At 35.7% G+C, this 26,768-nt stretch overlaps 3 annotated features.

Annotated features, from left to right (window-relative positions):
* Positions 3,499-3,998: an enhancer, noted in NCBI's record as "OCT4-NANOG-H3K27ac hESC enhancer chr3:191645061-191645560 (GRCh37/hg19 assembly coordinates)". NCBI's record gives its function as "activates a minimal SCP1, AML or CMV promoter by ChIP-STARR-seq in primed H9 embryonic stem cells {active_cell/tissue: H9 hESC(primed)}" and the evidence as "EXISTENCE:reporter gene assay evidence [ECO:0000049][PMID:30033119]".
* Positions 4,936-5,488: an enhancer, noted in NCBI's record as "H3K27ac hESC enhancer chr3:191646498-191647050 (GRCh37/hg19 assembly coordinates)". NCBI's record gives its function as "activates a minimal SCP1, AML or CMV promoter by ChIP-STARR-seq in primed H9 embryonic stem cells {active_cell/tissue: H9 hESC(primed)}" and the evidence as "EXISTENCE:reporter gene assay evidence [ECO:0000049][PMID:30033119]".
* Positions 21,207-21,296: a silencer, noted in NCBI's record as "silent region_15005". NCBI's record gives its function as "represses an Ori minimal core promoter by ATAC-STARR-seq in GM12878 lymphoblastoid cells {active_cell/tissue: GM12878}" and the evidence as "EXISTENCE:reporter gene assay evidence [ECO:0000049][PMID:35858748]".

Here is a 26,768-nt window from a genome sequence, read left to right on the forward strand (position 1 = left end):
ATAAACATGAGGAAAATGACACCAAGACCTGTGAAAATAAAACTGTTTCAAACTGCTGTTAAGGAAAAAACATTTTAAAAGCAGGAGAGAAAAGCAAATGGCTTACCAAGAAGTCAAAAATTGTTTTCTGTAAAATGTCAGATAATATATTAGGCCTTGTGGCCGAGGTGGGCGGATCACTTGAGTCTAGGAGTTTGAGACCAACCTGGGTGACATGGCAAATCCCTGTCTCTACAAAAAATACAAAAATTAGCTGGGTATGGTGGTGCACACCTGTAGTTCCAGCTACTGGGGAGGCTGAAGTGGGAGGATCACTTGAGTCTGGGAGGTAGAGGTTGCAATGAACCAAGATCATGCCAGCTTACTTGACAGAGTGAGACCCTGTCTCAAAATATATATACATACATATACAGAAGCATATAATATAAAAATAAAATATAAATATTAACTTATATTTTATAATTTTATAAAATATATTATTTTGATTATATATATATATATATATTTATGGCCCTTGGGAGGGGTCATACAGTCTGTCACATTTACTCAACCCTGCCATTGTAGTATGAGAGCAACCATAGATAATATGTACATGAATGGGTGTGGCTGTGTTCCAATAAAACTTTATTTAAAAACCACAGAATATAGTTTGTTGACATCTGATACAGAGGAACAAAAATATGAGGACAAACATACAAGACAGTATATTTCTTAACAGACACAATGAAAAATAGAAGATAGTGGAGCAACAACTTCAAAGTAGTACTTTGAAGTACTACTTTGTACTTCACTTCAGTGAAAGAAACTCTTAACCTAGAATTTTTTACCAGATAAAAATATCTTTTATAAAAGGAGGAATAAAACTATTTCAGACATATAGAAGCTGAGTGAATTTATGATCAGTATAGTCACACTGTAAGAAGTGTTAAAAGAAGTTCTTTAGGCAGAAGGAAAATGATACCAGATGAAAACCTGGATGTACACTTTTTCTTTCACTATGTTTTTTCTGTTGATTTTTCCTACTCTTCATTTTTTTCTTTTTTTTTTTTTTTTGAGACAGAGTCTTGCTCTGTCGCCCAGGCTGGAGTGCAGTGGCCCAATCTTGGCTCACTGAAAGCTCCGCTTCCCAGGTTCATGCCATGCTCCTGCCTCAGCCTCCTGAGTAGCTGGGACTACAGGCGCCCACCACCACACCCAGCTAATTTTTTGTATTTTTAGTAAGGACAGGGTTTCACCATGTTAGCCAAGATGGTCTCGATCTCCTGACCTCGTGATCCGCCTGCCTCAACCTCCCAAAGTGCTGGGATTACAGGCATGAGCCACCGTGCCCGGCCTCTTCATTTTTTTCTATTAGTTGAGATATAATAAATAATTTTCAGTTTATTTCTTTTATATAAACATTTACAACTAGACATTTCCTTCACACAGTCTCTTTCTCTGCAGTCTATAAGCTTTCCTATGGAGTGTTTTTATTGTGTATTTTATTATTATTGTTATAAGTAATTTAAAGTTTTCATTAAGTTTTTGACCAATGTGTTACTTAGCAGTATCTTTTATAAATTTCTAAATGCATTGTAATTTTAAAAAGTTTTGTTTATTTATTCTAACAATTATGTTGTGTTCAGAGATAGCATTCTATATCAAGAGTCAGCAAATTGTGGTTTCTGAGCCAAATACTGCCTGCCAGGTATTTTTCTAATAAACTTTGATTGGAACACATCTAAGCTCATTTATTTAAATATTTTCTATTAATTTTTTTGTGTTACAACGGCAAAAGCAAGTAGTTATATTATAGAATGTATGCTGTGCAAAGCCTATTTAGGCCTTTTACATTGAAAAAACTTGCTAAGAGCTATCCCACAGGAAAGCTGTTTTTAAGCAATTTGTTGACACCAATTTACACCATAATATAGGATAAACTTGTAACGGTTTTCTGCATGTGCTTGAGAATAACACATACTGTCTAAACTTCATATATAATACCTTGTTCAAATCTTCAATAGAAGTGCAATTTTATAAAAATCTGCTTGGGATATGTCTCTTTGATCCCTAGTCTGTTGAGGATTTTTAGATTTTTATCATGAAGGGATGTTGGATTTTTATCAAGGCTTTTTCTCCATCTGTTGAGATGATGATGTGATTTTTGCCTTTAATTCTGTTTATATGTTGAATCACATTTATTGATTTGTTCATACTGAGCCAGCCTTGCATCCTCAAAATAAAGCCTACTTGATCATGGTGTGTTAACTTTTTGATGTGCTGCTGGATTTGGTTTGCCAGATTGAGGATTTTTGCATTTATGTTCATCAGGGATATTGGCCTGAAGTTTACTTTTTGGTTTTTTTCCTCAAAATAATAAGGGGCATCTATGACAAACCTATAGCCAACATCATACTGAATGGGCAAAAGCTAGAACCATTCCCCTTGGGAACTGAAACAAGATAAGGATGCCCACTCTCACCACTCTTATGCAACATAGTACTGGAAATTCTAGCCAGAGCAATCAGGCAACAGAAAGACACAAAAGGTATCCAAATAGGAAAATAAAAAATCAAACGATATGTTTCTTCACTGACAATATAACTCTATAACCAGGAAAGCCTAAAGACTCTGCCAAAAGACTACCATAACAAATAAATGATTTTAGTAAAGTTTCAGGATACAAAAGCAATGAACAAAAATTAGTAGCATTCCTATAATTCAATAACATCTAAGCCTAGAGTGAAATCAAGAACACAATCCCATTTACAATAGCCACAAAGAAAATGAAATACCTAGGAATACAGCTAACCTAGGAGGTTAAAGAGCTCCACAAGGAGAAAACATTACTGAAAGAAACACTACTGAAAGAAATCAGAGATGATGCAAATAATGAAAAACAGTCTATGCTCATGGACTAAAACAGTCAGCATCATTAAAATGGCCAATTGCCCAAAGCAATCTGCAGATTGAATGCTATTCCTATAAAACTACCAATGTTATTCTTCACAGAATTAAAAAAAAAACACTATTCTAAAATTCATATGAAACCAAAAAAGAACCTGAATAGTCAAAGCAATTCTAAGCAAGAAGAACAAAGCATTACCCGACTTCAAACTATATTTTAAGTTATGGTAACCAAAATAGCATGGTAATGGTACAAAAACAGACACATGAACCAATGAAATAGAATAGAAAACTCAGAAATGAAGCCTTCTACTTACAATCCTCTGATCTTCGACAAGGCCAACAAAAGCAATGAGGAAAGGACTCCCCATTTAGTAAATCATGCTGGGATAATTGGCTAGTCATATGTAGAAGAATAAAACTGGACCCTTACATTTCACCATATACAAAAATTAACTGATGATGGATTAAAGATGTAAATGTAAGACTTCGAACTGTAAATGTCCTATAAGGAAACCTAGGACATACCCTCCCGATATCAGCCTTGGCAAATAATTTTTGGCTTAGTAGCCAAAAGCAATTGCAGCAAAAACAAAAATTGACAAGTATTGCCTAATGAAGTTAAAGAACGTCTGCAGAGCAAAATAAACTATCAACAGTGTCAGGCCTCTGAGCCCAAGCTAAGCTATCATATCCCCTGTGACCTGCATGTATATGTCGAGATGGCCCGAAGCAAGTGAAGAATCACAAAAGAAGTGAAAATGGCCGGTTTCTGCTTTAACTGAAGCCATTACCTTGTGAAATTCCTTCTCCTGGCTCATCCTGGCTCAAAAGCTCCCCCACTGAGCACCTTGTGACCCCCACCCCTGCCAGCCAGAGAACAACCCCCTTTGACTGTAATTTTCCATTACCTACCCAAATCCTATAAAACAGCCCCACCCCTCTCTCCCTTCACTGACTCTCTTTTCAGACTCAGCCCACCTGCACCCAGGTAATTGAAAAGCTTTATTGCTCACACAAAGCCTGTTTGGTGGTCTCTTCACACGGATGCGCGTGAAAAACAGGTTAAACAGACAACCTATATAATGGGAGAAAATATTTACAAACTATATGTCTGAGAAAGGTTTAATATCCAGAATCTATAAGGGAACTTAAATCAATAAGCAAAAACAACACCATTATAACGGGCAAAGACAATGAACAAACATTTCTCAAAAGACATATGAGCAGCCAAAAAAAATATTAAAATTGTTCATCATCACTAATTATTAGAGAAATGCAAATCAAAGCCACAAGGAGAGATCATCTCACATCAGTCAGAATGGCTGTTATTAAAAATCCAAAAACAACGGTTATTCTGTGTCACGCACGTCCCTGTGAAGAGACCACCGGCAGGCTTTATGTGAGCAACAGGGCTGTTTATTTCACCTGGGTGCAGGTGGGCTGAGTCCGAAAAGAGAGTCAGGGAAGAGAGATAGGGGTGGGGCCATTTTGCAGGATTTGGGTAGGTAATGGAAAATTACAGTCAAAGGGGGTTGTTCTCTGGCAGGCGGGGGCAGGGGTCACAAGGTGCTCAGTGGGGGAGCTTCTGAGACAGGAGAAAGAATTTCACAAGGTTATGTCATCAGTTAAGGCAGGAGCAGGCCATTTTCACTTCTTTTGTGATTCTTCAGTTACTTCAGGCCATCTGGATGTATACATGCATGTCACAGTGGATATGATGACTTAGCTTGGGCTCAGAGGCCTGACATTCCTATCTTCTTATATGAATAAGAAAAATAACATAAAATAGTGTTGAAGTGTTGGGGCAGCGAACATTTTTGGCAGGTGGTATGGAGAGATAATGGGTGATGCTTCTCAGGGCTGCTTCAAGCGGGATTAGGGGCGGCGTGGGAACCTAGAGTGGGAGAGATTAAGCTGAAGAAAGATTTTGGGGTGAGGGGTGATAGTGTGGGGTTGTTAGAAGGAACATTTGTTGTATAGAATGGCCTGGATATGGTTTTGTATGAATTGAGAAACTAAGCAGAAGTTACAAGGTCTGAATAAGAGAAGGAAAAAAACAGGTATTAAAGGACTAAGAATTGGGAGGACCCAGGACATCCAATTAGAGAGTGCCCAAGAGGGTTCAGCATAATGACTTGCTTGGTTGGTGAGTTTTTGGGCTCTGTCCTTGAGTTTTTTTATGTTGTCATACACCAGGCCAGATTGATTTAGGTAAAAACAACACTCTTCATTAAAAAATGTACAGTCTTCCTTTTTTAGCAGTAAGTAAGTCAAGGCCTTGGCAATTTTGGAGGAAAGAGAAACGCAAAGCCAGCAATTGTTTGTTAAAGAAGTTTAATGTCAGGCCTCTGAGCCCAAACTAAGCCATCATATCCACTGTGACCTGCAGCATACATCCAGATGGCCTGAGGCAACTGAAGAATCACAAAAGAAGTGAAAATGGCCTGTTCCTGCCTCAACCGATGACATTACCTTGTGAAATTTCTTCTCCTGGCTCAGAAGCTACCCCACTGAGCACCTTGTGACCCCTGCCCCTGCCTGCCAGAGAACAACCCCCTTTGACTGTAATTTTCCATTACCTACCCAAATCTTATAAAACGGCCCCACCCTTGTCTCCCTTCACTGACTCTCTTTTCGGACTCGGCCCGCCTGCACCCAGGTGAAATGAACAGCCTTGTTGCTCACACAAATCCTGTTGGTGGTCTCTTCACACGGACACGTGTGACATTCTGGTGAGACTGTGGAGAAAAGGGAACACTTCCACACTGCTGGTGGGAATGTAAATTAGCCACTGTGGAATGCAGTTTGGAGCTTTCTGAAAGAGCTGAAAACAGAGCTACCATTCAACCCAGTGACACCATTACTGGGTATGTACCCAAAGGAAAATAGATCATTATACCAAAAAGACACATGCGCTTGTGTGCTCATCACCACACGATTCACAATAGCAAAGACATAGAATCAACCTAGGTGCCCAACGTTTGCCTGGATTAAAAAAAAAATGTGGTGCATGTACACCATGGTATACTACACAGCTATAACAAATAATGAAATCAGGACCTTTGCAGCAACATGGATGGAGCTGGAGGCCATTATCCTAAGTGAACTAAGACAGGAACAGAAAACCAAATACTGCATGCTCTCACTTATAAGTAGGAGCTAAACATTGAGCACGCATGGACATATAAACATGGGAACAAAAGAGACCATAGGCTACTTGAGACGGGAGGGAGGGAGAAGGAGGTGGATTGAAAAACTAACTATTGGGTACTGTGCTCACTACCTGGATGCAATATACTCATGTAGCAAACCTGCATTTGTACTCCCTATATCTAAAATAAAGCTGATTAAAAAAAAAAGAAATCAACAGAGTAGAAAACCTAAATATGGAATAAACATATGGTACCAAAAAATCTCCTTGGTCCTTCAGTAATTCAGAAAACTGTTTTGAATTTTTTTTTTTTTTTTTTTTTTTTTTTTTTTTTTTGAGACGGAGTTTCGCTCTTGTTGCCCAGGCTGGAGTGCAATGGAGCGATCCCAGCTCACTACAACCTCCGCCTCCCAGGTTCAAGCAATTCTCCTGCCTCAGCCTCCTGAGTAGCTGGGATTACAGGCATGAGCCACCACGCCCAGCTAATTTTGTATTTTTAGTAGAGATGGGGTTTCTCCATGTTGGTCAGGCTGGTCTTGAACTCCCAGCCTCAGATGATCAACCCACCTCGGCCTCCCAAAGTGCTGGGATTACAGGTGTGAGCCACTGCGCCCTGCCAAGTGTTTTGAATTTTTATGATGTGTGGTGAATTTGTTTAATTTTCTTGTAAATCCATCAATATTTCAAGCTATTTTAATGAGTAATTATTTAAAATTATCATTTATGTTCTGCCAATTAGATTTTTATAAGTATAAAGTGACATTGTCTATCTCTAATTTTATTCTTAAGTCTATATTGTCTGCTATTGATACAGCTACACCATCTTCATTGTGTACTATTCTTCTAACACATCTTTTTTCATTCTCTGACTTTCAACATTTTCAGTGCATTTTACGTTAATTTTTTTTAAAGTCCACATAGCTAGTTTTTAACATTCAGTCTCAAATTTCTGACTTTTGATAGTCAGTTGATTTCACTTACATATTGCCTGATAATTAATATATTTGTACTTTTTAATCACCTTTTATTTTTACTTACATTTTTGTTCTATTTTTATGTTCTTTTCTTCTTTCTTGCTTTCCATCCCAAATTTGGAGAGTTGAGTATCTTTTTTTAATAATTTTCCCTTTATTCCACTTTCATTCTGCTTATTTCTTGAATCATCTCAACAGACTTGTCTATTTGGTTAGCCTTTCCAAAGAATGGCATTTCTATTGTTTTAGTAATTGACTATAAAATTTTAGCATTATTATAATTTAAATATTAACTATACCTGAACCTGCATACTCACACAGTAAAATTATTTAGATTTATGGGCTCAAAATATTTCCAGGTATTTTAGTTTTGTCCAGAGTTGCTAGAAAAATACAGGCCTAACAGTTAAATTTGAAGTTCAGATAAGCAACGTATAATTTTATAATATAATGTAGACCAGGGCAGTATTTGGCACATATTTATACTAAAAATTTATGTTGTTTTCCAAAGATTGAAATCTAAAAGAGTACCCTATATTTTTATTTTTATTTATTTACTTTTTAAGTGAAAGCAAGTTTACTAGAGTACTAAAGAAACAAAAGAATATCTACTCCCTAGACAGAGCAGCCTACCCTATACTTTTAATACTAAATTTGGCAAACTTAGTTTTATCTTTAATTTTAATTTTGTATTTAGCACAATAATGACTATGGTACATAAATAGTGTTTGGGTTTACATGATTTTTGCTTTTTTGGTAACCATTTTATTGTAGTACATCACTTCTTACAACTTATACTGTTCCTCTAGGATTACTTTCCTAGTTGGATGTATATAAAAATAGCTTTTATTTGGTCATTTTTCTTGAATAATAGTTTCTCTTGAAGCAAAATTACATATTGATACTTTCATACTGTCAGCTGTTTTTAGATACTGTTCCCCTGGTGTCTTGCTTTCATTAATATTGAAGAAAAGTCTCATGCCATTCTCAATGTCATTCTAGTGTAGGTCAAGTTTTCGCAAATTACCTGTGGTCCAAATCTTGCCTGTGTTGTTTATGTACAGCTCATGAGCTAAGAATATCTTTCACATTTTTAAGGGGTTGTACCAAATAACAAAGAAGTATACGTGACAGAAACCATATAAAACCTGCTAAGTCTAAAATATGATATATCTTTTTACAGAGTATTTATCAATCCCTATTGTAGGTTATCTGTCTTTTGAAAATGGCTGATTACAAGATCTTGTATTTAGTTCAATATTCTGATACTTTTACTGTTATATTTGTTGCAGATAGCTTTTGTTGCTATTATTAACATACTTTCTTATGTTTTCTTGTCAGTTACTTTTCTAAAGTAGAGAAAGTTAGTACTTACATATTTGCATTTTTTCCAGCCAACATACAATGTTTACTTATTAATTTTAGCCGTTCTAACTAGTTTTCTAGGTACACGCTGTCAGCAGAACAGTGAGATATTTTTATATTTTCTTTTCCAATATTTGCCCCATTACATAATTTGCTTTTCTTCTGCATTTGCTAAAACTACTAATAAAATGTTAAATCATCGTAAGATTATAAAAAGGACTAAAATAATTATAATTATCTGAATGCTTTGGATTTTTCTGACTTCCCAGCTTCTGACTTCTAAATCTAGCTAGCTCATATAAAAAAGGTCACACCCACCTACGTAATGTTCCTTTTGATTAACTCAGAGTCACCTGATTAGGAGACTTACTTGCATCAGTAAAATCCCTTTTGCCATTATTATAGGCATAATGTAGGGAATCGGAGATCATGGGGATCATCTTAGAATTCTTCCTACCACATTCTTCCACACGTAAAAGTCTGGCTTTTATTGAGATTTGTGCAACTTTGCTATAACTTTCTTTACCAAACTTTCTTGCATTAGTCACCACAGTGTTTTGGTTTGTTTTATGTAGGTGTCTGGTACAGCATTGCCCCTTTATTTTATACTCTCTGGTGACTTGGATCAATAAATGTCTTACCTGTTTCTTCTCCAAAATCTTCAAATTATTCATACTCTTCAAGTAGTCATGATAAAAATGGATTGAAGTATATTACTGTCCAGGAATTGTCTATCTCAAAGCATGTAAGCTCCAACATTTCACTCTAAGCCCAGCCTTTCATTCCTCTAGCTGCCTCACTATCTCAATCTAAAATCACCCTGTGATTCTGGGGCCTCAGATTCTTCAACTGCCTACTTTTTTCTACTCTTTGACAAAATTTTCTTCTCTAGGAAATCTAAAATATTTTTCTTAGTACAATCATACTTTTCAAACCCTTAAAATTTAAGGTTAAGATACTCGCTAAGACTCTATAAATAATAATTCGGAACACCATATATCAACCTGAGCTGTAGAGATAGATTTTTGAGTTATCAGCATATAGATAGTGTTATAAAATGTGAATGCTGATGAAATCTTCTAGATATCTTATCTACAAATTACAAAGGGGACTTGGAGAATTAAGGAATACACCAACATAAATGGATGTATGTTTTAGGTGAAAAGTAATAACTTTTTAAATGGTATAAAAAAGCATAGTTTTCTAAAAGTTACTCCTAAGTTTTCAAGAGAAAAATATATGGTTAGTATTTACAGTTTTAATTAATTTTTCTTTTTCTTCAGATTTAAATATATCCCACATGTGAGTATGTAAATACATACATGTGTATTTGGAAAAAAGGATAAAGCAAATAACTCTGTACCCCATTACCTAGGCCAACAAATAGAATGTTATACCAATAGCAGAAATCCCCTATTCTCTCCTCTGTAAATTGTACACTACTCACGCCCCTCTACAGGCAGCCACTATGCTGAACATTGTGTTAATCATCCTCTGCTTTTACTTATGTCTCTTAAGTGCATATACCTAAATGAAAGCTTATTTTTTACTCTTTCTGGACTTTTATAAGTAGAATTATATAGCATATATTTTTCTGTAACTTGCTTATTTACCTTAGTGTTATATTTTAGAAATTCACTCAATGACTATAGCTGTATTGCATTTATTTTCATTGCAATATATGTTTTCATTTAAAGAATATGCTGTAATTCCTTTTTTCATCCTACCATGTCAGAGAATTGAGTAACTTCTGCTTTTTTCTTTTCTGTTATAAAGAATGCTACTGTCTTATACATATCTCCCCGCATGCGTATGCCAGGAATTTCTATGGTTATACTCAGAACAGTAATTATTGTTGGACAGAGTAGGTGCATTTCAAGATTACTAGGCAATGCCAAAATATTTTGCAAACTAGTTGAGGCATCTACTACTGTTTATGTATCCCTGAGTACATGGGAGTTTCCACTTCATCAAACCTCACCAAATCATGATATTGTCCGACTGTAGTTCTTGACAATCTGCTAGTTGTGAAGATGTATCTTTGAATGGTTTCCAATTAATTTTTTCTATTAGTGATTATAACTAGCATGTTGAGTCCATGGGCTACTCCATTATCTGTTAGTTTCTCCTATTCTCTGAAATTTCTCTTAACTCTTTTGCCCATTGTTTGTTTTATTTTTTATTCTTGTTCATTGATTATATTTACTTCATGTAATCTAAATGATAATTATTTCCTGAGTTTATATGTTGAAAATACATTCTCCCAGTTTGTGTCTCAGTATCCAGTATCTTTTTTTATTCTTTTCTTTTTTTTTTTTTTTGGAGACAGGTTCTTGCTCTGTCACTCAGGCTGTAATGCAGTGGCACAATCTGGGCTTAGCTCACTGAAGCCTGGACCTCCTGGGCTCAAGTGATCCTCTCACCTTCAGCCCCAGGAGGAGCTGGAACCACAGCTGCATGCCACCTTGCCCAGCTAAGTTTTGCAGTTTTTAGAGATGTGGTTTTGCCGTATTGCCCAGGCTGGTCTTGAACTCCTGGGCTCAAGTCACCTACCCACCTTGGCCTTCCAAAGCGCTGGCATTACAAGCATGCACCACTGCACCCAGCCAATGTCCAGTATCTTTATTTTTTGGATTAAAATTTTGTAACTGTAATATATTTGTTATCAATATTTTCTTTTATGATTTATGTCTTTTTGTTTGCTTTCTATACCAATATAGGATATTCTACATGAATTTTTAAAATATTTACAGTTTTAGCTTTTACATTTAGAAATTTAATGTAAATAACATTGATTTTTCACTAAACAGTCACATTATTATTTAGAGTTCAATTTTGTCTTTCCATATGGATAACAAATATTATCATACCAATTCTCAAATTCAATTTTACTCCAATGATCTGTAAAATCACCTCTATGATATCAAGTGCCCATGTTTATGTAGGCCTGTCTCTGTGCTATTCTGATCCATTGGTCCAAGTATCTAAAACTAGGTTAATATAGGTCTTAACTACTATAGTTTTATAACAAGTACTGAAAATTTGTTAGGAAATGTGTTATTCGTGGTACTATGGTTTGGATTTGGTTTGTTTGGCTCCACCAAGCCTTATGCTGAAATCTGATCTCTGGTGTTGGAGGTGGGGCCTGGTGGGAGGTGTTTGGGTCATGGGAGTGGATCCACCATGAATGGTTTGGTGCCATCATCGATCTATTAGTTCCTGCAAGAGTTTCCTCAAGAGCTGGTTGTTACAGAGTCTGGCAACTTCTCTCTAACTCTTGCTCCCTCTCTTGCCATGTGATCTGCATATGCTGGCTCCCCTTCTCCTTCTGCCATGAGTGGAAGCTTCTTGAGCCCCTTACCAGAAGCAGATGCTGGTGCTGTGCTTCCTGCACAGCCTGCAGAATCGTGAATCATAAATTACCAGCCTCAGGTATTCCTTTATAGCAACACAAATGAACTAAGACACATGGTTATTTTGATTATTTATATTCTCTATCATTTTTAAAACCTTTATTAAATTATACTGAATATATAAATCATTCTGGAGGAAATCATTTCCTTGTGAAATTGAATATTTCAATATATGAACAAGGCCTTTCTATTTATGTGTTAGTATATATATTTCAATAAAGTTTTATAATTTCCTGCATAAAATCTTATATGTCCTTTACTAGAAAGTTTTCTAGGTACTTTGTATTATTATGTCATTTCAACTGGTATGTTTTAATTTCAAATTTATGTTATAACTGTTTATTTTTCTTCCATAGAAATAAAATGATTTTTGCAGTGATCCTAGTGCAAGAAAATTCCTCAATCATTTTTCCTGATTGGTATATTTTAAATTAATAGACTATTTTTGGAATAGCTTTAGATTTTTTCAGAAAAAAAATTGAGCAATTAGGATAGTGAGTTCCCATAGCCACCTCCTGACAAACACACAGTTTCTCTTCTTGTTAACATTTTGCATCAATGTGGTGCATTTGTTATAACTAGTGAACAATACATTATCAACTAAAGTTCATAGTTTACATTAATGCTCTTTGTGTTGTAGAGTTGTGTGGATTTTGACAAGTGTATGCTGTCATGTTTTCACCATTACAGTATCAGAAAGAATAGTTTCATCACCCTAAGAATCTCTTGTGCCTCACCTCTTCATTTCTCCTGTCTTTCCCCTGAATTTTGTCAACCGCTGCTCTTTTTATTATCTACAGTTTTGGCTTTTAAAGATGCCATGTAGTTGGAATCACACAGTATGTACCCATTTCGGCCGGCTTCTTTCACAAAGCAACATGCATTTTAGGTTCCTCCATGTCTTCTCGTGCCTTGAGAGTTTACTCTTTTTTTTTTTTTAATCACTGAGTAACACCTTCTTATATGGATACAACAAAATGACATATAGTTTTAGCTCTGACATGGAAAAACTTTGAAGTAGTCACTTTCATCTTCACAAGAAAAAACGCTGAACAAACTGAAAGTCAACACCTTATTTTGGATTTCAGAATTGAGCTCACAGAAAAATCACCACTCCAAAATTTTGAGACAGGCAAATACAGAGAACCATAGTCAAGATAAGCTTGCTTGAAGCATAAACTGCCAGAACCAGTTACTGGTAGTAGCACTTAGATAGTAATGTTGATGAACTGATGGAGGCTAAGTGGAAACCAAACTCCTGGGATCTTAGGTGTCCACCGACTCTATCATGGTTTCTGCACCAAACTCTCACAGTGAAGATAGAGAAAGATGCTCTGTGTTTTAGGTGCAGGTGGAAAGCAACTGTGGAATACACAAAGAACATTCTCCATTACGAACAGAATTTCTTTCTGTCTCAAGTAACAGGAGAAAAAATAAGGTAAGAAACATTTCCAAGATATAGTTGTATTTAGATCAGGAGCTATGGAAATGTATGTAAATTATAGAAATATATTTGGTGTTTTGAAGACATTAAAGTATAAGGAATTCACATAAGGAGGTCACATAGAGAGAGCAGGGAGATAGAGAATTCTAAGAAGGACCAAGAGCTAAAGAACAGTCCAAAGAAGATAAAACAGCAAATGAGAGGAAAATATGGAACAGAGAGTTGCGTATCTCCAATACATTTTTGTTACTAGAATAAGATCCTAAGAGCTGACAGTTACTACTTTATTTGGGGGAGGAGGGTGTGATAACCATGTGTATTAAGATGTAATTGACACATAATAAGTGGCACATATTTAAAATGTACAATTTGACGAGTGTTAATGTACATATATACCTGTGAACTCACCACAATCAAGATAGTGAACATATTTATTACCCCCAAAGCTTTCCTGACATGCCTCTGTTACTTCTCCCTCCCACCCCTCTTGACCCTCTGACTCCCCAGGTAATCACTGATCTGCTTCTGTCATTATTAATGCAAGGCTTGCTTTTAATTGGCTAGAATTTTATATACATGGAATCAAACTGTATGTACTCTTTATGGTCTGACTTCTTCTACTTAAAATAATTATCCTGAGATGTATCTATCTTGCTGCGAAAATCAATAACACTTCTCTTTTACTGTGAAGCAATATTCCATGGTATTGATATAGCCATAATTTGTCCATCCACTGACCTGTTGACAAGATAAAGTCTCTAAGATATCATATTATTTTAGTCAACGAGTGTTTTAACTTCTACCGTGGCCACACACTGTGCTAAGCACTAAGTTGGGGTAGTGGATAAGACAGAAAAACTTTCTACTCTTTTAGAGTTAAAAGTTTCACCCAAGAGAAGTAAAGCATATGTCCATATGAAGACTTATGTACAAATGTTTACAGAAGCTTTACTAGTAGAAAGCTGTAATCGATATTATTGTTTACCAATAAGGAGTGAAATGCCTGAATCATATGTTAGGTTTATATTTAAATTTTTAAAGAAATTGCCAAACTGTTGTTGAAAGTTCTTGTGCAATTTTGTATGCCCATCAGCAGTGTATGAGAATACCAGCTCTATCACATCCTCACTAGCATTTGGTATAGTCAGTAATTTTAATTTTAGCCATTCTAGTAGATGTATAGTGATATCTCATTATGGCTTTCATTCATATTTCCCCAGTGACTAATGATGTTGAGTATCTTTTCATGCACTTATTTGCCATCTGCAGCCATTATTTGGTAAAGGATCTGTTAATTTTCTTTACTGGTAGTTCTAATATCTATGCCAGGTCTGTATTCATTTTTATTGATTGCTTGCTTTTCCCTCATTATGAATTGTGTTTTCCTTCTTTTGGTATTCCAATAATTTTTAATGGATGTCAGACTCTGAATTTTACCTAGTTGAGTGTTGAAAACTTTTGTATTCTTATAAAACTTCTTCAGCTTTGTTCCGAGGTGCTGTCAAGATAATTGAAAATGGTTTAATTCTTTAGAATCTTGCTTTTTGTGGTTTTCAGTTGGATTCTGAGAAATACTTACCCTAAGGCTAATTATTCCCACTACTGCCGCAGGACATATCTGAGTACTCTACCCAATATCCCATCAATGATTGATTTATTTATTTTTTGCAGCGTGGCTTGTGAAAACAGACACTAGTTCTGGGCCTGTTTTATCTAGGGCACTGTTGCCTCTAATTCTTTCAGTCGGTTCTTTCTCACTCTTAGCTAGTTTTCTCACCCACATGTGGATATCATTACTCTATTGAATTATTGAAGGGAACTCTACAGATCTCAGAGCTCTGTCTCTAAACACATCGCCCCTGTTTCTATACCCTGAACCCTCTAGTGCCCCCTTGATCTCCCCAGACTCTGTCACCTCAACTCAGGTATTCTGTAGGCTCTGCCATGGTTCCCCCTTCCTGTTCTACAGCCTGGAAACTTTCAGAATGCAGTCAATGGAGATAAATAATAGGCTATTTCAAGAATTACTTTCCGTAATCACCTGATATTCAGTGTCTTAAAAATAGTTGTTTTAGGCCGGATGTGGTGACTCACTCCTGTAATCCCAAATTCTGGGGGGCCAAGGCGGGTGGATCACCTGAGGTTGGGAGTTCGAGACCAGCCTGGCCAACATGGTGAAACCCCGCCCCTACTAAAAATACAAAAATTAGCTGGGTGTGATGGTGGGTGCCTGTAATTCTAGCTACTCGGGAGGCTGACACAGGAGAATGGCTGGAACCTGGAAGGCGGAGGTTGAAGTGAGCCGAAATTGCACCATTGCACTCCAGCCTGGGCAATAAGAGCAAAATTCTGTCTCAACAACAACAAAAAAATAGTTGTTTTATATATCTCCTTTTTCTTTAGATTGTTTCAGGTGGGAAAGTAAGTGAACTTCCTGTTTTCATGCAGTTTTTAAATTGCTACTACTGTTCTACATTTTTTAAATCTGACTTTAGTTTATATCTTTTCACATCTTACAAAATCGGCTATGCCTGTTTCTTCATATCTGTAAATATTTCAACTAAGTGTTATTTTCAAGTCACCAATGGTCAACTATTTGAGATATGTTAACATTTTCATGACCAGAAAGCAACTAGTGAGCCGCTTATTTCTATGTACAAGTAAAATTATAATTCATTAAGATGTCTTGTGGACTCATCTAATACCAGCAGCACTAAAATTATTTTATATGTGTTAATCTTCAATTATCTGTTATTTTTGGACATAGTACCAGATAGATATTTGCTTTCACTGATTAATACAGTAACAAAATGATCAAATCTGTGCAAACAATCCTACATGTGAAACTCAATAAATCCAACAGCACTTTATAGTTAAATAGTAAACTAGATTTCTAGGTTATGTGACCAGGGAATTTTGTAGATTTCTGTCTCCCATCCTATTAAAATGCATATCACAGAAACAAAAGAAAGAAAATATAGCAACAGGAATATAAACTAAATATGGATTAAGAAATATACCCAAATCCAGAGAGACTTTACCCCGATTACATCAATTATGAGGAAAAGTTTAGAAACACTGTAAAAAACTAGTAACCATATGCTCTATCTTCTGATGGAAAATAGTACAAACAGTATCAAAGAAGTATTAAACCCTGTTGTTGCTAGAATTCTGGGATGCAGAAGCTTCACTAACCTGAGAAATAAACTGCAATTATCTATTTGAACAGGAACTTTCTAGAACACTAAAAATAACCAGGGCATCTCATTTTCCCTTATTTCCCCTTACTTACCATTATCTTTCTCTTTCAAAATCCCAATAAGGATTTCAACTATTCATATAATGTTGAATATAAAAGTATTCTAAAGGTGATATCTTGGGTCTTTCTTGAGACACAGAAATCAGGAAAAAACAAAATTTTTTTTTTTTTTTAAACTGAGTCTCGCTCTTGTCACCCAGGCTGGAGTGCAATGGTGTGGCCTTGGCTCACTGCAACCTCTGCCTCCCAGGTTTGAGCGATGCTCCTGCCTCAGCCTCCCAAGTAGCTGGGATTACAGGCACCCACCACCACACCCAGCTAATTTTTGTATTTTTAGTAGAGACGAGGTTTCACCATGTTGGCCAGGCTGGTCTCAAACTCCTGACCTCAGGCTATCCACCCACTGTGGCTACCAAAGTGCTGGGATTACAGGCATGAGCCACCGCGCCTGGCCAACAAAACCTTTTAAATGAGGTCATTGATGGGAAAATATACAGAAGCAAGTCTTCCCAAGAAATAAAGGTGAGTGACTTGACTCCACATTCCAAATGTCTGTTCTCTCACCCCATCTCCATTTAGACGATCCGTGTTTATTATATTTCTTAACTTCTCTGTTTCTCATTTAATAAGAATATTAAATAAAATAAAGCATGAGAAGTTTAGTGCATGAAGTAATAGATAGTAAACTTTCAGTAAGTATTAACTATAGTCATTGTCATTGTCATCATTATATTAACTCTCAACATCATTATTATTATCACTTCTTTACATTGTTGTATAGAAAAAATTAATAGGGAGAATTTAGCTTCGTATGAGAAAGAACATGATCCAAGTCTAACATCTAAGATATTAGATTCAAAACCTTAGCTAATAATACAGAATGTGCAATAGTAGAGAAATTATAGTTATCATTAATGTGTTGTATATTTTAAAATAGCTGGAAGGGAATAATTGTAATGTTCCCAATACGAAGAAAAGATAAATGTTTGAGGTGCCAAAAATCCCAATTACCCTGATTTAATCATTACACATTTTATACATGTATTAAAATATCACATGTTCCCCCAAATATGTACAACTATGATACAGAAGTCTAAAAAGTACAGAATGTGCAATTACCTGGACTGTTTGTTTTGCATATTTTCCTCAGTTGTGCATAGCCCTTTAAAAAGATATTGGAGAAAGAAATTGACATTTCTAACAATATGAGAAAGAAATTTAATAAAGTTTAATAACTATTCCTCATTAAAATGCTGAGAAATCCAAAATAGAAGGGTATTTTTCACGTGATAAAAAGCGTCTGTTATTCTGAAATCCAGTAGCAAATATTATACTTAACAGAGAAACACTGGCAGCTCAGCTCTTCAGTTTGCAACAAGCAACAATAAGACAAATTAATAAGAGCTACTGGCAAGAGAGACACTATAATCATTTTCCAATAACAACTTCTTTTTCTTCAATACTCTAGGATTTCTGCTGAATAGCTCTTGGAATTAATGAGGGGGCATAAATAATATCATAACTTAGACCAAAATAAATTCCTGATGTATTTAATTTCCAAAGTAAAATGGCTTAACTGAAAGGAAATTTTTAGACTAATATTTTCTAAGATAAAGAAACACATGCTAAACATAATTCCAATGGGAGAAGTCACCAAAGTTAGAATCCAAACATTTTATTGCGTTGCAAATTTTAAAATCTGTATCTTCAAACAAAAACAAAATGAAAAATTGTAAAATAGGAGAAACATTTACAAAAAGCATTGTATAAAAACAGCTAAATATGTTGGTCATTAGAGTTAATAAAAATTCATAAGAATACAAGTATTCCTTTATGTCAATGAAACAGTTATGGCTTTCTGATTTATAAAATATATAGTTAATGCGTATGTAAAAATAAATAGTAATTAAAGGAAACATAAACTAAAAATATAATTTTTACTTCAGATACTAGTAAACATTTCATAAAATATGCAAATTATTCTTCACGATAGTATGTTGTTAGTACAGCACACTCGTATTGATACTGATATTGATCACTTATTAAATCTTTTGCATACAGCATATTTACGTAAATTCTTTTACTTCATTAAATATTCAAACATCCTTATGAAGTAGGTATTTTATTTACATCACTTTACAAACATAAATAAAGAAACACAGAGCAATTAAAAACTTGCCCAGGCAGGCAGTTAGCTGAAGGGAAATTGGGGCTTTAACTCATGTGGTCTGATTAAAGATTCTACCTCCTTAATCACAGTACTACCCTGATAACAAGTACATACTTTTCTGAAAAGGATTTAAGTGCAAAATCAAAGATTTAAAACAAAATTCTTTAATACCTTAATTTAATTTCTTGATCTTATATCCCAAGTATACAGAAATATAAAGGAAATCTCATGCCTAGAGATAACAGCATAATTCATTTATTTATTTTTATTTATTTATTTATTTATTTATTTATTTTTGAGACGGGATCTTGCTCTGTCACCCAGGCAGGAGCACAGTGGCACGATCTCAGCTCACTGCAACCTCTGCCTCCCAGGTTTAAGCGATTCTCCTGCCTCAGCCTCCCGAGTAGCTGGGACTACAGGCACACGTCACCACGCTCAGATAATTTTTTGTATTTTTAGTAGAGATGGGGTTTCTCCATGTTAGCCAGGATGGTCTCCATCTCCTGACCTCGTGATCCACCCACCTCGGCCTCCCAAAGTGCTGGGATTACAGGCGTTAGCCACCGCGCCCAGCCAGTATGATTTATTTTTAAAAGTGAAAACAAACCAAATGTCTAATATTGAAGAGTTCAATAAATAATTATATACAATTCACGAAATATTATTCAATAATCAGTGTGTGTACATAGAAATTTTTACGATTACCAAAAATGTGATAAATATGTAACAACCTAAGAATGATGCAAGAAAGCAAAGGATTAATGAATACAAAATTCAGAATAATAGTTCACTCTTGGGGTTAAAAAAATTTACAATATTCAGTTTAAATTACACAGTGGGTACAAGTTCTTCATCTTACTATTATTTACACCTTTCACTTATGTTAAATGAAAACAGGAATATAAATATTCATTTGTGTGTATTAAACTCTTTATAAAACCGTATAAAGACAAAAATGTAATATAAAGTGATGTATTCAATATGACAAAATATAAATACCTTGGTAAAAATGGAAATAAATTACCCAAAAGTTTCATGGATTTGTTCTTCATACTTACATTGTAGTGCTTTTCAATTGTTATATTCCTCCGTATACCAATTATTTACATTGAATGTGTCAGATTTCCCATTTCTGACAGTGGCAACTCACCTATCATTAAATACGAGAGAAAATAACAAAGAAGCCACAAAGCACTGAAAATCCGGGAAACAATTGCAAGACTAGAGCCTAACAGAAGAGGAGAAAATAAAGCAGTAGGTTGAGGCTAGAAGTTGTTTTTGCGCTACAGTGGCTTACTTAATTGAATAGGAATTTGACTTTTTAAAATTTTTCATTTAGAAATGTTGTCCCGCTCTGTTGCCCAGGCTACAGTGCAGCGACTATTCACAGGTGTGATCACAGTGCACTGCCGCCTGGAACTTCCGGCTATTAGGGATCCTCCACCTCAGCCTCCTGAAGAGCTGGGACCACAGGTCTGCAATACAGGGCCTAGCTAGGAAATTGAGTTTTGCGGTGAAAAAGACAGCAAACTTTAAGAACTACCAATTGGAGAGCCCTCCTAGGGGACAAAGGTATGCTTTCAGGACAACTGTGAATCGGAAAAAAACTATCCAATCCATCCAAGCAACTACACAGCACTGTGCAAAGTTGTTCTGAGTCCCACACATCCCCTTAGTCCTAGAAAGGTGAAATGCCTTTTTCAAGGTAAAGAATCTAGTCAGGAGCCAAACTAAGCCTTGAACCTAAGTCTTGTTATTAAATCCTAGGGCTATTTGTGCTAACCACAACTGTAGAGGGAAAAAATTATTTTTTGACTTTTTATTTTTTATTTCAAAACTGCCATAGTGAGTGGCATCCCCCCTTCATTTATATTCCAGATGAATATAAATAAATAAAGCCCAATGCTACAATATCTTCAGAGAGCACATAACTGAATGCTAAAAAGCAATAATGACTGGGGTGTTACTAATCACAGTGCTACCTATTTCCTTGTATAAAAGTTGTAGAGTCTTCTACCCCTGACAAAGAGGGTTTTAAAAATATTTTAAAAGTAAAATATTTCTTTCCAAACTAGGATAAGTATTATACATAAAGAATTCCAGTAGCATTTTTCAGCCATTTCCAGCTGTCAATGTATCTCTAAAATTTCAGGGTCAAGGAAAATTCTATTTCCCCATAATGATAGACATAGTATTTTCAAATTTAAACAAAAGTTAAGATAACATACCTGCAGAGACTCATGCACAATATATTTGGAAAGGTTAAAGCTTAGATTTCCAAGGGCCTAAAAAGAATAGTCACAGAGATACAGGAATACCTACCTCATCACAAAGCCATGGTTCAAATCTTTCCCCATTTAAGTCAATGAGTCTCAAATGGGAGACTGGGGAGATTTTGCTCCTTGAAGAAAATTTGGCAATGTATGGAAACTTTTGGGGTATCAAAACTGGAGGTGTGATATTGGCTTGGCATTTAGTAGGTAGAGGCCAAGCGTATTGCTCAACATCCTACAGTACACAAAGAGTGTTCCCCATATAAAAGAATTGTCCGCCTACTGGGGTGGCTTGTATCTGTAACCTCAGCTGCCTGAGAGGCTAAACCGAAAGTGTGAAGCTGCAGTGAGCTATGATCACACCACTATGCTCCAGCCTGGGTCACAGAGTGTGACCTCATCTCTGAAAAAATTAAAAAAAAATTATCTGACCAAATATTTTATTAGTGCTTAGGCTGGAAAACCCTGCTTTAGGCTGAATTTGTCACTAATTATTTCCTATAGACTTAAGTTAAATATAAGTCATTCAAGGATGACTTTTTAATGATTTTTCACTTATTTCCAAGTCTTCATGTTTTCCTGTGGAAGAACTTCCCTGGAATAATCTTTTGGTCTCTTTCCTTACCATTTTTTCTCTATTCCTGGCAAGAGGAGAGGTACCTTTCTGATTAGCAAATTTGGAGAGAGGAACTAGCCATGCTCAGTTAAACTCCAACTTTCCTGCTTTTTCAGAAGCATATTGCCCACAAAAACATACATTCTAAGCATTCTCCACTTCTCCATGGCTAGTTACAAAGGCATCCATGTCAGGGAGGCCTACAATTATCCAGCCAAATTGTTTAACTACAGTGCAGCAAGACGATTGGCTACAGTCCGGCTCATCCAAAAACCCCAGCTATTAAGCTGATTTATTTACCTATATCTATTGGATTCCCATGTCCTATTTAACAACTGATTGGTTCAGAACTCAGGTAAAGAAGAGGGATTTAATCATTGTACCCTCTTTAATCTCTATAATCCCTATTTTCCCAAGTTTTTTAACAATTTAGTCTTCTCTGTATTTAGATTGCTTCCTTGAAGGTTTTGTTCATCATTGTGTTATTTTCTGAACTAGTCCAATCATCCAGTCTCTGCCTCTATTCCTCTTGAACTTTATGGTCCCTCCAAATTAATCTTTTCATACCACAGTTCTGATTTGGGGAGTCGTTTGTTTCACAGCCTTCAAATATTTCTCTTCAATTCTATTCATAAAAATACCCAAATTTCTTAGCATTAATTTCAAGTACGCTTTGAACTTGTTCTAACCTACACCTCAAATCTACATTCCGATAAAATTGGAGCAATCATTATTCTTTTTATGTTTTATAGATGACCATCACCAGAGTGACAATAGTGTAAATTTAGTCTCTAATGGGATCATAGGCAAATGACTTAAACTCTCTGTGCCTCTATTTTCTCATAATACAAAGGGTTAATAATGTCTGTTTTATTCCAGCAGAATAATGAGGATGATTTTTAAAATTCATAAATGTGCTGTTAACTTATATGCAAATGTAGAAAGCTAATATAACACTAAGGAAATGTGCATAGCTCAAACACATATAGACAGAATTTTGATTGTAATTGTCAAACATTGGCAGGAGTCCTAATTATAATTTCTTACATTTAAATTATAGAAAATTGATACTAAAGATTTGAATTCTACCATTTCATAATCATGTCATAAATTTTGCACTATGATAACTTTTTGTCTTTGCTTTTCCTTTTAACAGAAAAGTGAAAAATTACAAATTGTCAGTGTTTTCTAAGTATGTATTTATAGGGTTTATGTAGATTTTGAAGTTAATATTTCCTTTAAGATGGATGTGTCTAGAGCCTTGAGCATTCACACATCAGTGCAGTGAATAATGTTTTCTAATTACATAAGGCTTTTCCTCAGAGAGCTCAAAGCACCTTATATATTACAAAACCATGCAAATTAATACCTATTATAAACTCAGAAACTAAATACAATGAAGCAAAAATGTTAACTTAAAAAAGAAAGTGAGTCTGACAAAAATACTGTAAATTTTCCAATGATAATGATAACAAACAATTTAATTATAAACTTACTATTATAAGCCATGAATTACTCTTTTTTGATGAGTCTCAATTCTTCCAAATGTCCATGGAAATTAATTATTATTATCCCCTTTATCTCTGTTCACATATAAATGGACTAAGAATCTGAGAGGTTGTGTGGTATGTTGAAAGCCTTCCAGCTATTATATAGTAACCTTAGAATTCATATCTATAACTCACTCCATAGCCCTCACATATATCGATAATCCTACCAAATCTCTAAGATTACACATTCAATTTTTCAACGCTATCCCTAGAATGGGCCCAGAATGTCATTCTGCTTTGAAACTGAAAGCTTCAACAACAATTCAGCAAATGTCTCTGTAAACCAGAGAGAAGGGTTGGAATTCAGACAAGTCAGGTGATTAGTCGGTGTCAAGTACAATATTTGCAGTAGGGCAAATACGACAACCCTTTGGTTCTGAGTTCCAGGCCACTGATTTCTTTTTTTTTTGGGGGGGCTGGGGATGGAGGGAGGCATTCTGGTGAAGAAAAAATTATTGTCTACCCGGATACAGATATAACTTGTATGTAGTGAACACAGAACAACTAAAATTAAAACCTCATTGAGGCTGGAAGGCAAAAGGTAGAATGCAGCATTTCCTAAATGTGAGCAGCCAAGGAAGAGTGGGACCCTCGGCTAAGGTGGGGCTCTGCAGTTGATGAAAGAAGGAAGAAAGGAAGAAGACAGGGAAAGAGGAGGGAATATCATAGATAAAAAGGACTTTACCTCAAGGGAGGCAATCTTTCTGGTAACACCCAACCCAAAATATATTGTTTCCTCCCTCACGCTTGTGGAAGAAAAATTCATTTCCTTGGAAAACTATGGCACCCCTTTGTAAAGCACTCATAAGAGGAGTGTTGCTGAGCTTCCTGGCTTGGTAAGCATATTTACATTTGAGAAAACATCTCCTGTACTTGTAGCATTTGGACAGATCTGTTCAATAGCTAATGACAAGAAGAATCAATTGGATTGACATAAATGCAGCTGATGAGATCTTATACTTGAAGCAGAAAGACATTTTTATTAAAAAAAGTTGATTAAATTCTAACCAAAGCCTTGAGAACTCTCTATAACTAGTGAATCATGTAAGGATGTTACTAGTCGGATATGAGATCATGGGATAAATAGGAACAAAAAAGAAATATAAACCAAAAAGGGGAATGCAAACTATAACCATGAGAAATTGGCACTCTAACAAATCTAGGCACAGGGCTTTAATTGTACTTTGAGATTGGACTGATTTTCAATAGTAAAACCACTGTGTAGCTATGATTGACTATTATTTATAATTCAGTCTGCTAATAACTGTGTGTGTGCAGTTAATTGCTAGAATATTGTCTATAGTCAATTCCTATTCTCCTAAACAGCTTGACGTGTAACAGCACCTTTAAATTTTTAAGAAAAGAAACCAGAGAATATGCAAACTTACATTTTTAATCTAAACCATATTACCTAGTTGGAGCTGAGTTTGGCAGCTGTAACCCAGTCACAGGTTGGGTCCTCTGAACGCAGATACTAAGTCAGAATTTCGGATGCAAGATGTTTTAAAGATCAACACGTGTGAAGGAAGGCAGGGGAAACAAAATTGGGCTGAAGAAGTTGAACTGAGGTGTACATGAGATAAAGCCTGGCCAATCTGGCAAGGAATTCTAAAGAGAGCAGTGCCTCAGAATTTTCTCTGATCAGGCCAAAATAGCTGGGCCTTTCTACCTCTGCCTCCTTCAATTATGCATGTGGACATCCTGGCAAGGGTGGACCTCAGGGAGGGGAGGAATCTGCAGTTAAGGGAGACACTAAAGACGTTGACAGCTGACCTCTTACAGCTCCTTCCTTGAAGAACTTTCTTGTGGTGCCATACAGAACTATATTAGAGCCTAAAGCAGAAAGAAATCTGCAAAGTATTTATCCCATCTTTATTTTAATATTAATAGTTGCTATTTAATGTATTTGCATAACTTTTTAATTTTAAAAATGTTGCATTAAAATATTTATCTTGGTTGCTGAGTTTTGGGGCAGCTCCTTAAATTTTGCAACTCTACTCCCAGCACTACCTCTTTGTCTATGATATTCCTCATAGAAAAAAAATGAAAAGACCTATATATCATTCCATGTGCTCTCTCTTCCAGAAGGCACATTGTCTTCTGGGAGTTTTTAATCCAGTCGAGATACAATAGACAGTCTGTTATAAGAGAAAACCATGTTGAACAGACACTCAGAAAAAAATGACTTTATACCCCATTTCTACAAGCTCTGTAGAATAAATCATTCCACGTTCTATGTAGATTTCCTGTGATACCTATACCCTGATAGTCATAGCACTCGAGATAATTTAAAAGAGGAACATGCCATATGGCTTACAAATATTAAAGAATTTTATTAGCCACATAACTAACGTCTACCATATAAATGGATATCAGGCAAAATGCTGACTGAGACTGACTGAGAAATAAAAATATTCACAAAGATTTTAGAAGTACCAATATTAGAATATTCTCCAGATGCTTTCAAATTCCATTTAATTCATCATCAAGCCAACTCACATCATGAAAGTAGCAAGAACAGAATTTTCTAGTGTGTCTTTTTTCAGGAGCCTTTTTTCCTTTAATATATCATGATTTATAAAGCCACCATAAATTTAACTTTATATCCTAAAACATGACAGGTATTATTTCCTATGAAGTAAAATAGATATTTGAGATAAAATAATCTTGAAATATTTCTCAATCAGGTTCCCTTATAAAGAAGGCCATCTTTTTCTCTTGTACCCTAGTCTTTACTGTGTTTCCTCCCTCAAGCTTGGGGAAGAAAAATTCATTTCCTTGGAAGACTATGGCACCCCTCTGTAAAGCACTCATAAGAGGAGTGTTGCTGAGCTTCCTGGCTTGGTAAGCATATTTACATTTGAGAAAACATCTCCTGTACTTGCAGCATTTGGACAGATCTCTTCAATAGCTATTGACAAGAAGAATCAATTGGATTGATATAAATGCAGCTGATGAGATCTTATACTTGAGGCAGAGAGACATTTTTATTAAAGAATTTTGATTAAATTCTAACCAAAGCCTTGAGAACTCTCTATAACTAGTGAAACATGTAAGGATGTTACTAGTCTACTAGTTAGCACTAAGGCTTGAGTCAAAAGAATATGGCCTGGAAAAAGCAAACATCTAGGCTGTCTCACCAATGGATGAAGAACAACCTTGCATATCCAAAAAGAGAAAAGCAAAACAGAAACACATACATCTTCTAAGAGATTGTGGGAGAATAAAGGATTCCATTGAGCCAACAAAGCAGAGGGTAGAGTAATTCTGCCCACCCGCCATCTCCAGATCAAAGTGCCAGAAGAGAGACACGTTGGAGATGCTGAGAGGGATATGAAGGCAGAGAGGACTTTGAAAGACCACTGTGTGTGTCAGCCCCAGGCCAGCCTGGAGCAGCCCCAGCCAAGTATACCCTGCAGTGTGGTACTATTAGGCAAAGAGAAGACTTCTTTTTGGCTCTTCCAATAGGATGAGCAACTGGTTTTCACAGAAGTATCCCAGTTTTAGCACTGAACTTCTTGCTTCCTTGGAAACCTCTCAAGCTTAGGCAAGCCAAAACAGTTAGTTCTTCATCTTATTTCCCAAACCATACTTGCTTTATGTACAAGAGACTCAAGAATCCTGTGATTTCACGGGGGTCTGGTGTACATGTTTCAGCAGT

The sequence above is a fragment of the Homo sapiens genome, chromosome 3, assembly GCF_000001405.40.
Source record: "Homo sapiens chromosome 3, GRCh38.p14 Primary Assembly".
Lineage (NCBI taxonomy): Eukaryota > Metazoa > Chordata > Mammalia > Primates > Hominidae > Homo > Homo sapiens.